Source organism: Homo sapiens, chromosome 3 (assembly GCF_000001405.40).
Source record: "Homo sapiens chromosome 3, GRCh38.p14 Primary Assembly".
Lineage (NCBI taxonomy): Eukaryota > Metazoa > Chordata > Mammalia > Primates > Hominidae > Homo > Homo sapiens.
This window is the reverse complement of record NC_000003.12, coordinates 106,683,096-106,705,167: the sequence shown is the minus strand read 5'-3', so window position 1 is coordinate 106,705,167 and position 22,072 is coordinate 106,683,096. Positions and strand designations below refer to the sequence as shown.

At 36.6% G+C, this 22,072-nt stretch overlaps 1 long non-coding RNA gene across 1 annotated transcript in view; it reads left to right on the top strand.

Annotated features, from left to right (window-relative positions):
- Nucleotides 1-19,605, top strand: part of LOC105374029 (uncharacterized) — a 65,172-nt gene extending 45,567 nt beyond the window's left edge. Inside the window, exons 3-4 of the long non-coding RNA XR_001740467.2 lie at nucleotides 16,394-16,535; nucleotides 19,226-19,605. This is a non-coding gene — a long non-coding RNA (uncharacterized LOC105374029). The remainder of the gene's footprint in view (nucleotides 1-16,393; nucleotides 16,536-19,225) is intronic.
- Nucleotides 19,606-22,072: the final 2,467 nt, after the last annotated feature.

The window sequence follows — 22,072 nt, the reverse complement described above, 5'->3', positions numbered from 1 at the left end:
CTTACTCCTTTATATCAAAATGACTGTTTATTAGTCTTCCTTCCACCATATTCCAAATTTGAAAATTAGGTTAATAAGCTTTAATGTGTGTTTTTAATGGAAAAATTTTTAAGATCTTATACTGTCCTGGAAAACATTTTACTTCTGTAGCAAACCAGAAGAATGAAATAATGACATATAGAATGCTATAATGGAAACAATGTTTATGAGGGTTGTTGAGAAGTTTAGATTATGATGTAGCTATGCAACCAGTTGGACATCATTTCAGACATGTCCCTATCCATTTCTGAGCCTTTATTTCATTTGCAAAAGGTGACTAAATTGAATGAGAAAGCCCCTTCCAGCCCTAAGATACTATGTCTCTAATACCAAGTTCCCTTTGGAGTCAATATGATGGTTAGTATATTGTCGCAGCAACTCATGTAGTTCTTATATGTAGTAAGACTCAACTTTATCTGTGGATTGATCATTGTTGATATTGATTATTGATTATTATGAGTGGGAGTTTTATTCATTAATCAACAAATATTTAATGAGTACCTACTAAAACTCTAGTCTCTGAGCTATGGGAAGTTGTTGAATGAAGAACATATGTTCATGTAACTTAGAATCATCTCACAATTATAATGAAGGATAAAACTTCACATATCACATTAAATTCAGAAAAATATATAGTAATAAGTTAGGTACAATATGTTTGAATTAAAACATATTACTACAATAAATCACTTTTTTTTCTTTTTGAGACGGAGTCTCGCTCTGTTGCCCAGGCTGGAGTGTAATGGCGCGATCTCGGCTCACTGCAACCTCTGCCTCCCAGGTTCAAGCAATTCTCCTGCCTCAGCTTCCTGAGTAGCTGGGATTGCAGGAGGCTGCCACCAAGCCTGGCTAATTTTTTGTATTTTTAGTAGAGATGGGGTTTCACCATGTTTGTCAGGCTGGTCTCGAACTTCTTACCTCATGATCCACCTGCCTCAGCCTCCCAAAGTGCTGGGATTACAGGCATGAGCCACAGTGCCAGGCCAATAAATCACTTTTATGTATTAAAACATTTCAATTTTCACAATAACACTGAGGCAGTTATAAAAGATGCACACACACAAACTGCTCTGCCCATTTAAAGTATGACGTAGGTGGTCTCAGAGAAGGAAAGATCTGCAGCGGAGCCAGACTGCAGTACAAACCTCTCTGCTTCTTGGGCCTTATACTGTTTTGGAGATCCTGTGGTAGGAAAACACATATGGAGCATTTGGTACATCTCAGTAGAAGAAACATAATGTAGTTTATTCTGGAGCAATGCTTTACAGAGAATTATATGCCTTTTGAACAGTTTCTCCTTTTTGTCACTGGACACTGGTAAAAATAGAGTAGTTCACTGTGGTTCATCAAATGACCATGTGGTCAGAGTTTTCCTCAGAAGCTAGATCCAGAATTAAGATAAGTAGGCCCATCAGGAATCTATTGTAATATGGAAGTAGAGTATCTGTCATAATGCATAAGCAATGCCAGAAAACATGATTTAAGCTTGTATCTTAAGCAGATGACTTAGATACCCCCTCTATCTCTCCCCGAACCACTCACTTCACCTCCACCCCCACCACCATGTCATTCGCTTTTGTATCAGAACCTCTTATTCTGCTTTCATTTATGGCCACATAGGAATTTGGAGGAGGAATAAAGCAAAGCTTTATTTACAAATATGTTGTCTTGTTAGTCAAGCCAAAAATAGACCATGATTATGCTACTGTCTCACTCAAGGGGTGGGGGAGGTGGGAGGGTGAGGCATCAAAAATCCAATGGTGAGGGAAAGTTGATGGGCAAGCTGCATTTGGTATACCTATTCATCCATTTTATGAGGAAAGAGAAGCAATCCAAAGCAAGAATACATAGAGATTCATGAGCAGGAATAAATGGCTTGGCTAGAAGGCCAGGGCCTGAAAGAAGAAAAAAATGGAAGATAGGGGACATTGTAATGGAATAGAGGCACACAGATGTACCTTGCATAGTGGACATAAAATGTCAGCATTTTTATATTGCATGCTAATGTCACCAAAAAGCTGTCATTATGAAAGAGGCATTAAACAGCTGAAGAGACAAAATGACCCAGCCAATTAATGTCAGCCAGCCTCTGTCATTGGCCACTCCAGTGCTTGCACAAAGGGCACAAAAAAGAAATAGCCATTTGAGAGGGATGGGAGCTCTGCGTGGAGTCAAGAATATGGGCTCAAACTCATCAAGACTTATCTATCTACTGCCACTACTGACCCTTCAACCTGTCAGCAACACAGACAAATAATCTATCCCTAATGCAGCAGCATCCTCAAGAAAACCAACCAGACATTTTGTGGTAAGTTGACTACATTTGACCCCCTTTACCCTCCAATGTCAACAATTCATTTTCCCAATAATTGGTATATTTTCTGGGTATAAGTTTGCCTTTTCTGACTGCAGGATGTCAACCTGCACCACTAACCAAGGGTTTACAAAGTGATTCACTGAAATAGGATCTCACTCAATATCACGTCAGATGAAGACACCTACTTTGCAGAAATAGAGTGTGGGAGTGGGCACATGACCATGCAATCCTTTGGCCACACTCCACACTATACCACCCGGAAGCTATCGGCATGATAGAGCAACAAAATGGACTGGTGAAGGTAAACTGAGGTGCTAGCTTGGAGATGATTCCTTACAAAGACGGGGCACCACTTTCCAGGATGCGATATACACATAACATCAAGAGTTGGCAAACTTTCTGTAAAGAGTGAGATAAAAATTATTTTAGGTTTTCAGGCCATATGATCTCTGTGGCAGCTACTCAACTCTGCAATTGTAGTGTGAAAACAGCTTTAAATAATATATAAATGAATGGTTATAACTGTGTTCCAGTAAAACTTTGTTTATATAAACAGGAAATAGGATGGATTTGGCCTATTTGCCATAGTTTGCCAATCTCAACATGAGTAGATAGATGGCCTTTACATAGTTTCCTGTCCCTAATAGGTGGAATACATGAGTTCGAGAATCGAGGGATTGAAGCAAGGGTAGCCATCTTTAATATCACTTCTATTTGTGTTTCTGTCTGCACACATTTTTTATCACTCCTAGTTGTGCTTTATGGAAATTTTGTGCTTTCTGTGTACACAATCCTGATTTGCAGATTTTTTAATTTTTTTAATTTTTTTTTTTTTTTTTTTTTGAGACAGAGGTTCACTCTATCACCAGGCTGGAGTGCAGTGATGCAATTTCGGCTCACTCCAACCTCCACCTCCTGGGTTTAAGCAATTCTCCTGTCTCAGCCTCCTTAGTAGCTGGGACTACAGGTACACGCCACCATGCCCAGCTAATTTTTGTATTTTTAGTAGAGATGGGGCTTCACCATGTTGGCCAGTATGGTCTCGGTCTCTTGACCTTGTGATCCACCCGCCTCGGCCTCCCAAAGTGCTGGGATTACAGGCGTGAGCCACCGCGCCTGGCTCTGTTTTGCAGATTTAAAACTCCTGATACCCAAAGGGAGAACACTTTTACCATGGACATAGCAAAAGTCCTATTGCATATAAACTGTGGTTTTCTCCTGGTCACCTTGAACTCCTTTGGATAAGGGACAAGCAGTAAACACAAAGAGTCACAATCCTGGCAGGAAATGGACTCTGATCATCAGGGGGAAGTAAGGCTGATGTCTTCCATTTATGAAACAGAATTCTGTGTTTGGCTCCCAAGCGATCCACTTGCATGGACAAGAACAGCAGCCACAGTCTTGGAGGCACATGGTGACCACAGACCGAAGACCAGCTGAGGTGCTAATTGAAGATTAGGAAAATCTAGAAAAATACACTGGTTTGATTTTTTTCTGCCTGGATAAAGAAGAGAGATGCTGAGGATTAATTACAGCCCTAAGATCAGCTACAGTTGCATGGGCTTAATTCATCCCATAAATCTTCTTCCTATAAGTCAAAGCCAGTTAAAATGAAAAAGCTCATCGTAACTATAACCCTTGTCATTCCAAGTCAGAACATATGTAAAGGAATAGAACTGAGCAGTACAATGGATGAAATATAGTGGATGCTGTTATGTATTGCCTGGCTTCTCCTTTAGAAATGAGGCATTATTTTCTATAGCTTCTGGGAGCAATACTATCTGACAGACTTCAGCTTTTGATTCTTTCTGTAAATTGCCTTGGGTTGGAAAGAGCTCTTTTGTCCAAGATCACATTTCCTTCTAACAAACAGCTTGCATCCAGTGACTGGTCAATGCAAGAACATAAAGGTCTGGCATCCTCAGTGCAGGCAAAACAAATTTGAAGGGGCCCTCCATGTTGGCTGTGGACTTTGTTAGATCTGCATGCAGCACAATTTTCTTCATTGTCCAATAACGCTTCTTTACCTTCCTGCCTTACTTCCCTTCCCTTCCATAGGTTTTGATCCCAGGAGTTCTCCCTAATAAATATCCTGCCTAATGATCTCCAATCTCCAATTTTACAACCATGTATTCCAAGGGAATCCTACCTGCAGTAGAAAAATTTAAGAATTAAAGTGGTTTAGCCAAACCACTTTATCCAACATCACCAAATATTATAGTTTATTAATGCCCACTAAGCCCCCAAAACCATTTGATTCAAATCTGAAAAAAGAAAGGACAAGAGTCACCTCTTGACTCTCAGAGACCTCCCCTCTTGAATCTACTGGTCAGACCTTTTCAATAGAGCTCTCTGGTGAACTACCTGTTAACAGTACTCTCCCAAGAGTGGTAGTTACCATTTCGTGCAAACAAAGCTCATATGTGGAACTGTTAAAGTGGAGAGCTCTTTTGGAGGCTGACTTACTTGATTACAACTCTACTGATGGCTCCTGGTTGTACTGAGTACACCAAGGTTTAAAAGTCCCTTCAAATGAAGAAACTGGATAAGGGATATATAGGATCTCTCTTATTATTTTTTTACAACTGTAAGTGAATCTACAATCATCTCAAAATAAAAAGTTTAATAAGAAAAGTTTACTAAAAGAGGCCTCTGTACCCACCCTGCAACAGGATAATGTACTACTACTTCTGTGATCGGTCTTCTGTGTCGAATGGTGAGTATCCATCATGCATTCAGATTGAAGGCTCCTGGGTTTATTCCATGGCTTTGATTGTCTTCCAGTTTTACCTTGAGGACAGTCAGAGACCTCTTCTGCAAGAGAACTAGCTCAGATAATCAATTGCTTTCTAGTCATGTTTCTAGAAATTCCGTATTTGCCCATAAAGTATTGGGGCATATTATGCCAGTAAGTAAGAGGTTCTAGAGGTGCTCATATTGACCCATTTTTAATTTCTGCTCAAACCAATGTTCTATTTAACAATTTGTATGAATGAGACGTGTTTTGAAAACATATGCTGCGTTTAAGGGTTGTGATATCTTAAGACATCATATAGAATTTTAGATTGAGTGACCTCTTGAAGTAGTGTTTTGGAAAATGGAAAAGATATTACTGAACAAAACGGAAAATTTATTAAAAAACAGCTTGTAAAGAATATACTCACAATCAAATAAAATAAGCTGCAAAATACGAAGTAGAAAAAAATTCTCGTCGATCCACATCAGGTTTAAGCCACCTCAATTCTGTAGTCTGTTTGTGCCACATGTAGCCTTGTGTTCAGGCAGGAAATAAGTAGGGTCATCGGCGTATCAGGGACGGTCTAGGCATAATGTAACTTAATGCTGACTTAGAGCCCATTGCAGGCACCTGAGCACAGTGGAGGGCTTTAAAGACTGGTAGTGCAGCCCACAGCCTCCGAAGAGCATTTCTTTGGAAGAATTGCAGTTTGCCCATGATATTTACTTAACATCCCTTTCAGGCTTAGTACTGAGGTTGATTGTTTGCATTTAAAATCTGGTTAAGCCACTGGAGCCATGGTTGCTAGGAAACCAGCACTTATTTGGAGACTGCTTTGCCATCTCCCTTCTAGTCACACCTCTAATTAGGAAGAGCCAACAGGTTGCAAAGTTTGTACTCACTCTTTTTCCTCTGAAAGATCACCAAGTCTAAAAATCACTCTTCCAGCGCATTCCATTTTTCTATAATAAAATCTGTTTGTGTAATACATTCCTTTGTGGTTTTTATTAAATTGTCTTCATTAAATAGGCCTTTACCTATCCCATTTCACTTATTTTCTAAATGATCTCAATGCGGACTTCCATTGTCAACAGAGCCGTTCCAGTCCCCAACCCCTGCTACCAGAGGAAAGTGTTCATTTATGAAAAAAACCAAAGGGTTAACATTTACAGTTGCTCGTATAAATAAGAGACCTATAAAGAAAGCTCATTAGTTAAATAAATCACAAGGATATTCTTTGTGCTGCTGTTCTCACACTGACAAAATTTTACATCACCGGGGCAAGTATTTACTATTTCCAGTCTGAGGCTTTACATACTTTCTTTGTTGCCATTTCTTCTTTTTACCTCCGGTCTAAAATAACATTATTTTCTCAAGTTGTTGGGCTGTGACACTACCAATTTCCTGAAATGGTGGGAACATGATCTTCCAATTCAATATACTTAAAAGGTTGGGCAGAGCTTAATAGCCTGAGAAAATAATATCAGAAAATTATGTGTTCCGTCACTTATACCAGTCATGCAGATTACAGAATCTCGGATTAGCATTTATCCAAGGCATAGAAGAAGGACATTATAAAAATATTTCATATATTTCACATCTCTTTTTTATTAACTTGCTGCCTTTTCAAGAAAAAATATGTGGAAATATGTTGTGAGGCCACTTCTGCATGTGCCGTGTGACAGGAGAGCCAGGCAGTTTGCTAGTGTTTCAGGTGATCAGAGCAGAGTTCATTTATCTAATTAGTATTTTTTGGCACCTAATAGGAGCTTTGTTAGTGGCAAAGGGTAAAAAGAAATAAGAATTAAGTTTTCTTTGCTAAAGGAATTTTTACTTCATTTAAAGGAGAATAAATATCTGCACACAGAAGCATGCAAAAACCTAAGAATATATTTATCGAAGGCAAGGACTGATTATTTGTACCCCAACGCTATTTAAGAAACTATGCAATCACAGTGCTCACCCTGGTCTGCCATATATTGTACAATCACAATCGAATATGATTGTTTGGTCAGTCACATGAATAATAACAATAAGCATTATCTCCCTCAAATATTCACCTTAAGAGCCTATATGCTATACGTGTCTTCCTATGATATCAACATCACTTAAAATATTTCTGAATACTTTCTTGAAAATGGCTTTCAAAGTCTGTCACTCACTTTTTGAATATGCTTTATCATATATAGAGACTTTGAAGTTGGATTTGGGCTTCAGAAACCATCAAATGTCATTTAAAAATGAGTCTGGTGCATATTATGGGTAATTTTTGAATATGGTTTTATTTCAAAACTGAGATGTGATTCTAAAGTAATGAGATGCTATAGAATTTTCTTCTATGTCCTGGAAAGCAATCTCTTCTATGAAAAAGAATAACAAAGATATTATTGGCAACATGGTTTCAATAAGTACGTGATCTCCAACGAGTGAACACTTTTATTCCTGTGTGTATCTGGCTTTTTCTGGCCAATTGTATTTCATCTCCTTATAAACTTAGTAAATTATAAAATGATAGTATCTTTTACTTTGTTTTGGCTATTAGGAAGCTCATAGTCAAATTCAAAACTTATATTTTTAAAAATCCCAGTACATTTTTGGGTAACTTTGCCTTGAGTCTGATTTTCTGTTTACCTTATTTTTCCCTTTCACCTGCCCTTATGATGTTTCTATCCTATTGCACTGTATATATTTCATGTACTATTTCAAATGTGTTAGGAAAAAGAACTGGGTATAAATACATGTACTCTTCTAAACTTCAATTTTTTCTTTATAGACACGTCATAATAATGAATAATTTATTCAGAGTTTTATATTTTTATTTTAAGCAAACAACAGAGAAGAAAGGATAATTGAGAGATTGTTCAGTGAAAGATCAGTGAAAAATGATCTTGTACATTTCATGAAATTTGACTTAATAGTAAATAGACTTTAAAATTTCTTTGCCCTTTATAACAGATTGACTTGAAATCTTACATAATATCAAACAACAGCAAACATTGGTTTGCTAGATTCTAGGGATTGGCAGTGAACAAACAAGAGATATTAGGTTGGTGCAAATGTAACTGCAGTTTTTCCAATTAAAAGTAATTGACACCTGAGGTCAGGAGTTCAAGACCAGCCTGGCCAACATGGCGAAACTATATATAGCTAGGCATGCTAGCAGGCGCCTGTAATCCCAGCTACCTGGGAGGCTGAGGTGGGAGAATTGCTTGAACCCAGGAGGCAGAGGCTGCAGTGAGCCGAGATTGAGCCACTGCACTCTAGCCTGGGTGACAGAGCAAAACTCCGTCTCAAAAAAAAAAAAAATAATTGAGAAATTACTGAATTTTCGGAAACATGAAAGTGTCCTGGAAGTCATGAGCACTATTCCATCTACTTTATGAGTGAGACGTGATTTTTCAATGTGAGAAAATATATAGCTACCTTGTCTCACACACACACCTGTAATTACATGTGCAGGCTATCGTCAGCCAATTTGGCATAAAGGGATAATTCTTAGCCTCTTTGAGTTTTAATCAATTATTGATTTCAACACTTGAATTAGTGAAGCGACTTGATGTTCATGGCAACGTGTAGTGATGATGCAGTATTTGCAAATGATGTATTTCTAGTAAGTTGCTTTGACACTCGGAAAACAGATCTAAATTTAAATCAATAGTCAAGATGCATTTTCATCTTACTTAAAAAAATAGTGTTATATGTTGGCATTATTAAACACTCAAATGCCCAAAACATGTTAAGTTCTGTGTGAAACGTTTTCAGCAACTAGCACAGCTACCCTGCCACCCTAGAACCTTAGGTATTAAGATAGCTGATTACAGATGATGGCATGAGAATAAATCCCTATTACTCTGTATGTTACCCATAGTGTTGAACATCACGGACTTTGGAGTCAGATAGATCTGGATTCATTATTTAACAAATTATAAATTTCTTTGTTGTCCAATTTATTTACAGTAAATGGGGATAATTACACTTACATTGTATGTTTGTTTTGAAAATTATGCATATTTAAATTGCTTAGCTCAGTAGACCAATAAATATTAACTAATAGTAAGTAATTATAACAGTAGAAGTAGTAATAAAAATAGTAGAGATAATATTAGAGTAATTACTCAAGAAACAATTGAGGATTACATATTACATATTAAAATGCAAATATTAAACAATATTTCTATATGCAAATCTATTAATCCTATAGTCCTATAAGGCATAATAAGGAGTTTGCCTTGTAGCTTCAGATTATGAGGCGTATGTGCACAGGGAAGTGAAATAGAACAGCAGTGGAGATGAGGGCTTGTGTTTTTTGGTGACTTTAATTCTACCACCATTTCTGAGATATAAACAAACTGCTTGAGACCACCCCAACTCGCTCCCTCCCCTGATAATGTCTCCACTTCCCTACCCTGATCTCCTTACTAGCTTAAAAAAAAAAAATTGGCTCTGGACAAGAAAATGTAATTTGAGAAACACAGAGGTAGATAATGTGGGAGTGGGAATGCTTACCCATATTTCTTTTACTTCTCTTTCTGGGCAAATAAGAGGATAAACATAATTTATTCTTGCATCTAATCTTGTCCATGCAGCCAATTTCTGACAGCCAAAGGCTGTCAGTAGAAGTGGTTTTTGTCACTTACAGGCCATAGCGTTGAATTGGTAGGATGAGGCCTCCAACAGTCTGTTCTTGTTTATTGATCAAGGAAGCTCAGTGTTGCAGATGATGCAGCTACAGGATGGTGAAGCTCCTAACTGCAAGTAGGGAGAGATTATGCTGGACATATAGCAGAATCTGTCTATACAATAATCATTGCTGTGGAAAACCACAAGATTATTTTTTGTTACCACACCTAGCATATTTTGATTAATACATGTGGGTAGAAAAGATTTTGATTCACTGTGTCTGTCTCTCTCTCTCTCCATCTCAGTTATTATTCTTAGTGTTTTTAAGTATTAATATGTCAATAAATACCAAGCTGATACAAAAGGAGCTTAGTTTTCTGCTTTACAAAGGTAAAGGGAGATAACTGCAAAAAATAAATTTATGAAAACTCTATATTCTTCTCCTTCCATTAAATTCAAGGTTCTCCATGCAGCATGCTTTTATGCTTTTATAACAGTAAATATAGAGTTATAATCTGTTTTCATAGACAATTTAGTGCTCTCCTATTAGGAAATGTCCATTTTGACATGAGTTTCTTCAACCAGCAGGAAAAGTCCTGAGGGACTTGAAATATAAGGTCTCCCAACTACCGCAAACTAGAAAATCAACAAATAAAAGAGAGATAGACATTCCCCACCTTTGAAAAAAGAGGTGATCTAGTTCATATTTCAAAAGTATTTTGTCTGATGCAAAATCTATCTGTGAGGCTTCCTGTCTCTTTTTGTTTCATGTCCAAGAAGTCTGAAAATAAACTCTGCAAGGAAACTTGAGAGAAGTCCACTTCAGTATATTTATAAAGACCCTGACCTACCCGAAGTCCTCTAATTATAAAAATTTGTGTAATTTTTTGAAGCTCGAAAAGGCAGAATACTAGAGGGTGGAAGAATTTACAAGAGATAAGAACCCAGATGCAATGATACATGACCAGTGTATGACATTGTTTTTGTACCATTTCACCATAAAGATGGCAGATAGGTCTGTTTCACAGATTTAGCAAATGTTAAATCAATATCATTTCCTCCAATTAGCTATCATTTTACTGCAACTAGACTAACGCATAAAACTAGGCTCTTACTCTTACTTAAGAGATTGTGCAGTAAGGAAGGCAGAGCAGGCAGAATTTTGAAATGTCACATATTGGAGATTTCCTTTCCTGTTATGTCTGTAAGAAGGCTGCAGTTTTTTTTTTTTTTTTTTTTTTTAAACCTAAGCTAATGTGAAAAATTTCTACCACATGACTTTATGTGTCAGTGGGTGGACCAATCCAATGAAGGCTCTGTCCTCTGGACCAATGCCTAGAGGTGCCACAATCCACATTAGCCTTAACCACAATTCCCAGCCCTCCTACAACTACCAGAGTCCTCCATGATCCTGACCCCCTGACACTCTCTGCGTTCTCTTCCAGTCATTGATCAGATCAACGATAGGGAATCTCTCATAGAGAGATCCAATGAAAACCCTTGTATTTCTAAATATTTCTAATACGTATGTGGCAGGGAAGCCTGCATAATGGGAAAATGAGGAAGAGGACAGGTTGTGCATAACTAAGAGCTATTTGCAATGATAAAACAACCGACGCTCGTGTGTGTGCATATACAAGTGTGCATGTGTGTCTGCTCTGTAATCCTGAGTTGTTGGTGATTTACCCATGAGATAGCTCATGTACCTAAAAATACAAGATATGAATGAGGGATGTCTAAATTAAAATAAACAAAATAAAAACACACCTAAAGTAATTACCTTTATATGAGGAAAAAATTGCTTAGCGTCCATATTATTTTTCATATAGCTGGAGTGTTGTTATCCCGAGAAGTGATGCTGAAAATGTAGATAAGCAAGGAAGCAAATAAAATCATATTTGTGCAGAGTAGGAGCATCAGGACTACAATCATTTGCCCAGAAGTTTCCCGGCTGTGAATATCTCCCAGTGCTTAATTTTCTCTCAATGGATCACAGATCTCATAGCAGCAAATTAGGCAAGAAGAGGATCTGAGATATGTCAGCCATTCCATGGTCTGTTAAAAGTCTTTGTGTTTTCCTTTTATTTCAATACTAGAGTGTTGCTGCTAGTTTCTTATCTACGGAATAACCCCAGAACCCCTAGTAATTGCTCAACAGGTATTTATCAAAAAAATTGTTTCAAGTTGTTCCCCCGTGTTCTTAGTGAATGACAGGTATTTGTGAACAACTGTTCAGGGGTACAGCCCAAGACTATGAAGACTGACATACGAAACTGATGCTAAGATACTAACACTGAGATATAAAAACTGAATCCATGATTTGCTATCATGACTAAAAAATCTCAGCCAACATGATGCCATCCAGGGGAAACACTCCGCTTTTTGCTGTTACCACTGCCAGATATGCCCAATGAGTTCCTGGCCCTGAGATCTCAAATGAGACTTCTTCGATATACCTCCTAATGTTCCCAAACCCTGATTTGAGTAAGACCCCTAACATGGAGTCGTATGTTCATATAAACTGGTATAATCACAGGAGATCAAAGGGTCCTATTTTGCAGCTGAATTTCAAAATGAGCTGGATAATTTTATGACCAGCAATAAAACTGGTAGTTATGAGAGCTAAAATATAAAAAGCTAATCAGGTCTCATGTTTCAGGACATAAACTTGTCACCGTGTACATTAACAAGATTTTTCCCCCTTAAATGGTAATGTAGTATGTTGCAGAGGATTTTCACTTTTTAGTCATCTGTGCCATATGCCTTTTTCCTGGGCAATTCAATTGAATATGCATTTATTAGGTGTCTAATGTGCACAAAGCACCATCATAGGCAAGATTTCCACTGGGTAAAGGCACTTGCAAAATAGAATCTGGCATAATGTAGTTGCAGGGGAAGATGTGTGTAACCAGAGCCTATGTCCATGGTTTTGGGGTATCAAGAGTCACAAAATTCCCAGGGGTTTGAGTTACAAAAAGGCATGTCATATTTCTTAGGACAACTATAAAAGAGATATTATGACTAACAGTTAGCTATTTTCTTTTTTTTTTTTGAGATGCAGTTTTGCTTTTCTTGACCAGGCTGGATGTGCAATGGCACGATCTTGGCTTACTGCAAACTTTGCAAACAAGAATCACTTGTTCAAGTGATTCTCCTGCCTCAGACTCCCTAGTAGCTGGGATTACAGGTGCCCACCGCCACACTAGTTTTTTGTATTTTTAGTAGAGAAGGGGTTTCACTATGTTGTTCAGGCTGGTCTCAAATGCTGTTTTCAAATATTAACACCCTTATCCAAGGTTGAGATGCGGGGCATCCATGCAACCCCTGGGGAGGGTTCTCAGTAACAATCCTAAATGTCAAGGAATTTCTAAGGGACCATTCTTCTAAGAGCAGAAGAATATTAGAAAAAGCCCAGTTTCCCTTAGCCTGGTATGAGTTTCTTATTTAGGGGAGCTTTAAACCTCAAAAAGCAAATGCATTTTGGGGGATTTTTTCAAAAATCTATAATCTCTTATAGACAAGTCCATCTCTGTGAAACCTTATATTTGGAGGAAAGTTTTTTTCCATTTCTGGCAGAGGAGCTGTGATTCTTGATGGGAGTTCATCAGACATACTAGAGAGCGGGGACAAAAGGGGATGCTAGGAGACTCAGGGCAGTGGGGAAGAGAAGAGAAATAACATATCTGCAAGGTCAAATTCGAGATGCTGAAGGGGAGCTTAGTGAGGAATATCATTGCAGGTGTCTGGTTTCAAGTTTTTCCTGCTACTTGGTGGGAGACAGGAAATTGTGGGCAATTCCATTTTCACTGTGGCGGCAAAGTCACAGGGAAGAAATCTTTGTAGACTGGGATATGAAACTAGGAAGCCTAGAGGAGTGGGATGGGGGTATTTATATAGCTAGTACAGCCTAGGTTTCTCCGATAAAGAAAAACTAATACATGGAGCAGAATAAAATAGGTGCTATATAATAGAGGAGCAAAGGATGTGGAATATCAGAAAAATAAGCAATGAAGCCTGAATGGAGGGGTAAGGGAAAGCTTTCAGAGAACATAATATTTTAACAGAAATTTAGATAATAAGTAGGAATTTTCCAGTATAAGTTGCTAGAATAAGCAACAAAAGAAAACAGGCTAGCTGTTCCTGTTGTTCAGCAAAGAGTTGATACTACAGTGAAATAGAACTATAGTTTCTTTGTTGAAAAAAATGAGACTGTAAATTTAATCTCAGGTTTGTAATTTCTTCAGTAGACAATGGTGAATCTTTAAAGAGAGGATGACGGTGACCTGAAGTATTCTTAAAGACATAATTTTGTAAGCACTGTGGAGGTTGGCATTGAGAGTGAAGAGACAAGAAACAGAATTCCCACTCCTGGAAAATTATTTCTGATCTCTGTGCTTAATTAGAGAAGGGGTTCAGCACCAGCTCTTGGTTTTGACATTCACTTATCCCAGGAAGCCTTCCTAATTCTCAGGTGTGGATTAGGACAAAATTATAATTATCAAGGTATTTGTCCCTATCTGCCTTGGACTATCCACTCCATTAAAACATTTAACATGTCTGCCTTATTCACCATTCTCTATTTTCTTTCTCATTCCTGGCCCTTGCTGGATATTTGGTCCGTATTTATTAGATAAATAAGTAAAGAGATGTGTGAATATTTTGAATAAATCAGTTGGAAAAAAAAGGCGTAAGAAAAATGCCTATAAGAATGAAAACACCAGAAACGTGGAAAATAGTATCCAAAGGATTGGAGATATGTAAGATGTGGAAAGGGAGGGATTAATTTAAAGATGCCTCCCATGTGTCTATCCTGGGTTTTGAGATAGGATAGTAGGATAGTGATGCTACCTGAATTATCCAGTTAGAGTTTGGTTACCTTTCATATAGTATCTCCTCCCTCTACAAACAGGGTTCTGGTTGAACTGTTTGAAGAGTCCTTATTTGTTACAGGAATGTGACCATAGTCTACCCATATAAATACCCTCCAGGCCAATTCCTGAGATGGGAAGGTATGAATAAGATCCTGGTGCCAACTGAACAGGGTCTGATACTCTTCTTGAAAGTGATTCCTTACTGATATGTTTTGGCTCTGTGTTGCCACCCAAATCTCATATTGAACTGTAATCCCCACATGTTGAGGGAGGTCCTGGTGGGAGGTGATTGGATCATAAGGGTTGTTTTCCCCATGCTGTTCTCATGATAGTGAGTGAGTTCTCATGAGATCTGATGGTTTTATAAGTGGCAGTTTCCCTGCGCTCTCTCCCTCTCCTGCTGCCTTGTGAAGAAGGTACCAGCTTCCCCTTTGCCTTCCACCATGATTGTACATTTCCTGAGGCCTTCCCACCCATGTGGAACTGTGAGTCAATTAAACCTCTTTTGTTTATAAATTACCCAGTCTCAGGTAGTGTGAAAATGGACTAATACGCTTACCATCAAGCAATTCTGATGGAAAATGCAGACAGAATTTGGGACATTTAGATTGGATTGTGTAGACAAGTGGCTGCCCAGAAAAAGTGTCAGTGGACCCTTTCCATGTATTCAAAAAACATACGTGAGAAAGATGGAATTTTTTATTGAATAATTTTCTAGGATAAAATGGTTCAGGTCTATGAAGTTTATAATATTAGCACTATAGTAATAAAATAAGCCACATAGATTTTCATTCCACAGAATGAGAGTGGCTATACTATACTCAGTTCAATATAATTAATTAGGTGCCTTGGCTGGAAGTTAAATCTTTCATATAAAGGTATCCATTTTAAAGCAGATGCATTAAATGAATCACTATATAATGAAATATGTGTTAATATGTTTATTATAATCAAAACCCATTGTTTCTAGAAAGAAGAAAAATAAAATTCTAAGTCTTGTTTTTTTAAAAAGTTAATTTTCATTGAAAAAACATCTGCTTAATTCAGTAGCCAAATATCAGAATCAAAAAAATAAAATTCTCAGAGCTGTGATTCAAAACTTGAAATAATTAAATTCTTAATTTAGAATGGAATTATAACTGATCATATTTTTCCACACATTTATCTAACAGAATTTTGTATTTGGATGATTTCATCTTGTGTATCCAACCACTTGGCAATTTAGCCATTGAATATGCACCTGCTTCTCAGATTGGCAAGGCAACAATTTACTGTGAAGAATCAGTTGTTTTGAATGGCTAATTGGTTACAGGTGCAATGAATTAACCATCTGCCTTAGAGATCGACTAAACTAAGAGGGAAGGAAAATCCCTTTCCTTTCTGTCACTTTGGGAGCTCATCAATACTAGATTCTAGTGAGATGTGATTCTGACTTGGAATTTGTCTATCCCCTGGTGGGTAGAGTGAGGTGAGCGAAAGGAGAAGAAATTTTGTTCAGTGGTTAATCAGAAGAATATTATAGAGTTATGATTAAGATGCTGGTTTATTAATTTTTAGCAATAATCTAGCTATTAAATTAGACAAACATTTCAAAGTAAAAAAAAAAATTGGAAGATATCTAAAAGAGCACAGAAACCCCACAGGTAGGTTTACACGAGCACATTTGATGTAGTCTTGGTTTAGGTTCAGGTTTTCTAGCATTTCTTTCCTGAATTAAATCTAATTTTTAAAATTTTCTGAAGAATTATGGCATTAATCTATTAATGTGTCACAATACTGAAAATCAAACCTCCTTTTTTCCTTTTAAAGGCTAGTCAAATAAAGCAGTGGGAGTGGAAAAGGATCAAAGAAATCTGTAACCGGTTATGATCAATTAGTTGTAAACACCACTGCACGAGGACCAGCCCAAAGCTGCTACTTAACCAAGTGACTTTCTGATTGCTCAACTGTGGTGAGTCAAAACATTCCTAAATGGGCAAAAGCCATTTTTTTTTTTTTCTGGATTGTTGCAATCTCCTGGCTCCAAGAGGCTAAAGTGAAGCTCTTGTTAACTAGGAGATGCAATCTGGATTGGATGACCAGGTGGAAAATGATGTTAGGTTAATTTAGTCTGAATACACTTCTTTGTCTTTAGGTCAACACTTCATTTTTCTCTCCCATATGTAACTGAACCTACATTTTATATGTTGTTTAGTTTATGAAGCCAAACTTTTAATGAACCTTAAATATTTAAGAGCTCCAGCTGACTTAACATGTTTTCATATTCTAAGCAATATATTCTCACCTGTAGTAAAAGTCACCTGTCTGATTCACAGACTCCTGTAATGTGTTCTGATTAGAGCTTTTTCTATAAGCGCCTCTGCCTGCACACATTTATCTTAAATAATTGGCAAAATGAAAATTATTTTTTCTCACGAAGTGGAGTGGAACCTGTCAAAGGGCAGGCACTCAGAAACACAATTTCCCATCCAGTTGGTATTGTGAAATACCCTGAAGTTCAGTTGAGTTAGTTAAATCAATATTTTTGCCCTGTTTAATTATTTTTTAGCAAAACACAATTATTTGTGCCTATGTGGTTGCCTTGTTAAAACCACATGAACTGATGCCATCATTGATAACAATAAACTAGCCAAGTTGGAAGGACTCCTCTCTGCGTCATTTTAGATATTGAAAATATGTGAGAATGAATAAATATTTGGGGCATAATTTCTTTCTTTTTTTTTTTTTTGAGACGGAGTCTTGCTCTATCGCCCAGGCTGAAGTGCAGTGGCACTATCTCAGCTCACTGCAACCTCCGCCTCCCGGGTTCAAGCAATTCTCTGCCTCAGCCTCCCTAGTAGCTGGGATTACAGGTGCCTGCCACCACGCCCAGCTAATTTTTGTATTTAGTAGTATTTTAGTATTCACTATCTTTGCCAGGCTGGTCTTGAACTCCTCCTGACCTCGTGATTTACCCGCCTCAGCCTCCCAAAATGCTGGGATTACAGGCTGGGGCATAATTTCTTAACGCCTAAAATGTACTTCATTTATTTTATGAAATATCCTACAATAAAAACAAAATTCTTTGTGAGAATCCTATTTTCAAGATTCCAGTTAAGGATTAGATTGTGGAGTTTTAAAAAATAATTTCCTACTAAATAGTTGGAATTTGACTACATGAAGTACAGTGTCATTCCAGTTTTCTGGACCTAGTTGAATTTTCATAAAATGTCTTTCAATAGAATGTCATTTCAATTTCTTATTCACATTTAGAAAACGAATTACACTTATGGATTTTAGATTCTCTTCGAATATATATAAAATTTTTTGCAATGAAAGTCTTTGTACAACAAAATATTTCTGATAAAAGCTCATTCATTTCAAACATCATTCAATAAAACAGTATTCCATCAGATCAAAACATTTAGGTCTAGCATTTCTTATGATCATTGTAAACAGTCATGGTTGCATAAATCTAAAATATTGCTTTAGAAATAATTTGAGGCCTTAATTCACACTACAGAAATAATGTTTTCTCACTTTAATATATACGTTTCTGTTTGTATCCCATCCCATGCAAAAGGTGCAGATAGCAACATTGTTTCCTACTTGTTCTTGAATGCATACAAATATTCATATTGATTTTCTCCAAACAAAATGGAGGTCCTTCATAGTTTATCTCCACTATATTCCCTCCTTTTGTTCCTCTTTTAGTGATGCTTATTCTTCAGTGTTAATTGTTGTTGATGAAAATCCTCGTGTTACAGAAGTAGTGTCTATAAAGATTACTAATGGTAGAGTTGAGAATTATATATTTTATATCAATATATATTTATTAAAAATATAAATATATAATTCATATTAAGTGAATTCATATAAATATACTAGAATATTTATATAAGTATATTGATATAAAATATACAATTCACATTAAATGAATTCACAGAAATATATATTCAATGTGAATTTTATATTTTACATCATATATATTTACATGACATCTAAGCTATCATCAGATTTGGAAGTTATTTTAGAAATCCTCATCCAGACTACAATTGTTTTAAATATTTTATAGCAGGAGGACTCCTTCAAACGGAAATGTAAGGTACAATAAAAAAATGCACCACTGCGCCAGTTGATGCTGGGATAAACTTCCCAAATTCATATTTTGTGGCTTCTCTTTTGTGTTCTGAGAAATCTTAACATTATGAGTAAAAGGGTACGGGAACTACTGTTCTTTTCCAAGGACATATTTTCCCTGCTAGGAGACTGAGGCATAGAGAAATTATTTGGCTTATATAAGGGGAGCCAGTGAGTTAGAATCAGAAGGAAAACTAAGCTCTCTTGAACTCTAATCTATTTTTTTCACTGTTAAAATATAAATTTAAACATCTGAATTATCCAAATGGCTTATCTGTATTGATTAAAATGCCCTGGATCACTTATTACTTCATTTGATCTAGCTTGTATAGATGAAGATGCTGTGTCAACCCCTTTCTACACGCCCACCTGTCTGAGCTCAGGATAACCTTAAATCCCAGTACCTAGGACTTTCAATCTCTTAGACAGTTGATTATGCCAAATGTTTAGCACAGAGCCACTAGTTGGCTCCAGGCTATTGATGATTTCATTAAATCTTTCCCAATCTATTTATTTACACAGTTTCCACTGAGAAAAATGCATTGAAATGAAACATCTCATTTCCAGTACTGTCCTGAGGCAAAAAGAGACAATGATACGTATCTCCAATTTAGACTGGATGAAACTAGCCACATTTCAAATAAAGAAGTCACATTGTAAGTGTAAAACGACGTTAACCTTAAAGGAGACATTTCCGCCCTGTATAACTATGCACAGCTTCAACTAATGGTATATGAACTGTGTCTACAAACCAAAGGACATTTTTCTAAAGAAACTTTAAATATAGAAAATTAACTCAAACCTTACCTTAGAGCTTCCTCCTCTATTGTCTTTTCCTGTAGTGGTAGTCTCTGTGGCACTTACAGGTGGTAAACAAATAAAAAAGTGTCTTATTGAATTAACTTGATTGCCATATTGATCAGTTTTATGTGTTTTTATTCTTAAGCATAACAATAAAAGAAAATGATTAAGCAATGTTTTGCTTAAAAAAAAAAGATTTCATGGCAGAGAAGCAATTGAGTCCAGTTAAGAGACAGTTAAGAACATTTTTCAGTTTGGAGCTTTTGTTTTGTGATGAGAACTTTGCCAGTTAGTCACAAATGAACTTGAGCACATTTTCTTGAGCGTGATGGCTGAACAGATGAGCCACACACACTTTATAGTGAGTTTTACTGCACTGAGTCTTTACCTACTATTCCTAGTAGTTACACATATTAAATTATTAATAACTGATCAACATTTTAAAAGAAGGTTTCAAAAGAAATGTAATTAGATTTTATAGTTGAGTTTTAGCTAATGTGTGATTCCACAAAAGTTCAGGTGCCGAGATTACATTTCAATTTATACTTGCCATCTGCTAGAATATTCCCCTCTGTCTACAGCATCCTGACCAGATCTCCAAATTTTGAAATCTGTTTTCATTATTCAAGACTCATTGTACATTTCAAATACCAGGTTGATTTCTTAGTCTCCATGTTCTCCATGTCTGCTTATGACTTTACAGAAAAAATGTTATTTACTATGCATATTAATATTGAGATTCTTTACTATGCTGTATCTTTTTTTTTTTTTTTTTTTTTTTGAGATGGAGTCTCACTATGTTGCCCAGGCTGGAGTGCAGTGGCGCCATCTCGGCTCACTGCAAGCTTCGCCTCCTGGGTTCATGCCATTCTCCTACCTCAGCCTCCTGAGTAGCTGGGATTCTAATCTCCGCCACCACGCCTGGCCAATTTTTTGTATTTTTAGTAGAGACAGGGTTTCACTTTGTTAGCCAGGATGGGAGCTCGTAATCCGCCCACCTCGGCCTCCCAAAGCTGGGATTACAGGCGTGAGCCACTGTGCCTGGCCTACTATGCTGTATTCTTATAGTTAACAGCATGCTCTTTGATAATATCTCATTGGAAATATTTATGCTCTGAAACATTATTTTTTGAATTGTTAAATATAAATCATTTATACAGCAATACTTTATGGGAGAAGCATATGCTGAATTTTAATGGTGTTTACTTTGCAATCCAAAATTGTGAATACATACATGTAAAACTATGAAATTGCTAATTAAATATTTCCATCTATCATAAGATGGGTATGTAAGACTGTGTCTCCTGTCTTTTTTTTCTATTTATGTATCCATATATCTAAAAATTATTTAACTATAAGGTAAATGATGTTATCAAATCCTTGCATAGTATCCATGTATACAGTACAAAGACTGAGGTTAGGGAGTATCTGTTCCAGTTACCAGATGGCTTCAGTAGGAATCAGAATGAGAATCAACCAGGAAGCAGCTTAATTCCACCATAGACTCAAGAATCAGATTTTCTAGGAATGAGTAATGACCTTTTGCATTTTGAATTAACTGTCCAGGTGACTCTGACAGTGATGTTGATCTAGAGAGATTTTCTACAAGAAAAGACATGTCCACATTTTTCCTCTTTGAAAATCATTTCTGGTTATGGATTTTTAACATAAACTTCTAAGGTTTGAATGAAGATAACTGAATTGACTTTGTTTCTCTCTGCTTGCTTACTTTTTGGGATAGGTCATTAATAACATTGGCAGCATTTCCTACAGAAGGACCATCTCACACCCCTCCAGTAAATGGCTTAATGCCAAGCTGTGTTTTTGCTATAAAGCATGTAAGATTTCAGTATAATGCTAGCCTTTGAGATGACTCATGTGACATTTTGATTTTTTGAATTTAGATTCCATATAAAAGTGCTGTATTTCAATATTTCTCTATTTTAATGTATATTTTTCTTAATTTTGTAAAATATACAGTATATCATAGAATTATAAGATAAAAATGGATTTAAGGGGTAAAAATCTTGCTTATTATACGTGCACTCTCAATATTAATAGCAGTTTACCTAAAATATGAAAATGTTAGAAATCTAGGAAATCAACCAAACAAACCTTGAGAATTTCTTCTGATTTTAAGAGACTATATGTATATATAATCCATATTCTTATGTGCCTTTTTTCCCTCTAGCATTTCTTTTCTCCTTTGTTGTGAGAAGAAAATAAAGAAAATGTTTCCCTTGAATGCTCTTCCTGATACAACTCATTTTTTTCCCCTGTACTTTGTATCATGAAACTCAGTGCCTTCCAGAATATTGGCTTCATAGCTAGTTCTTCCATAGGGAGATTCTGAATCTTCAAAATGTGTAGATGTGAGGAAAGGTCATTACCTTCATGATGTTCCCATCATATGGCTCACTATGGAAAATTTCAAGAATAATTTCCACTTCCTGATGTTACTCGCATGCTCTGTTGCTACAAAAGAACAGATAGCACTAAAGATATCTATCAAATGGCAACATTGATATTATTCGGTTAGTGCAAAAGTAATTGCAATTTTTGCCATTA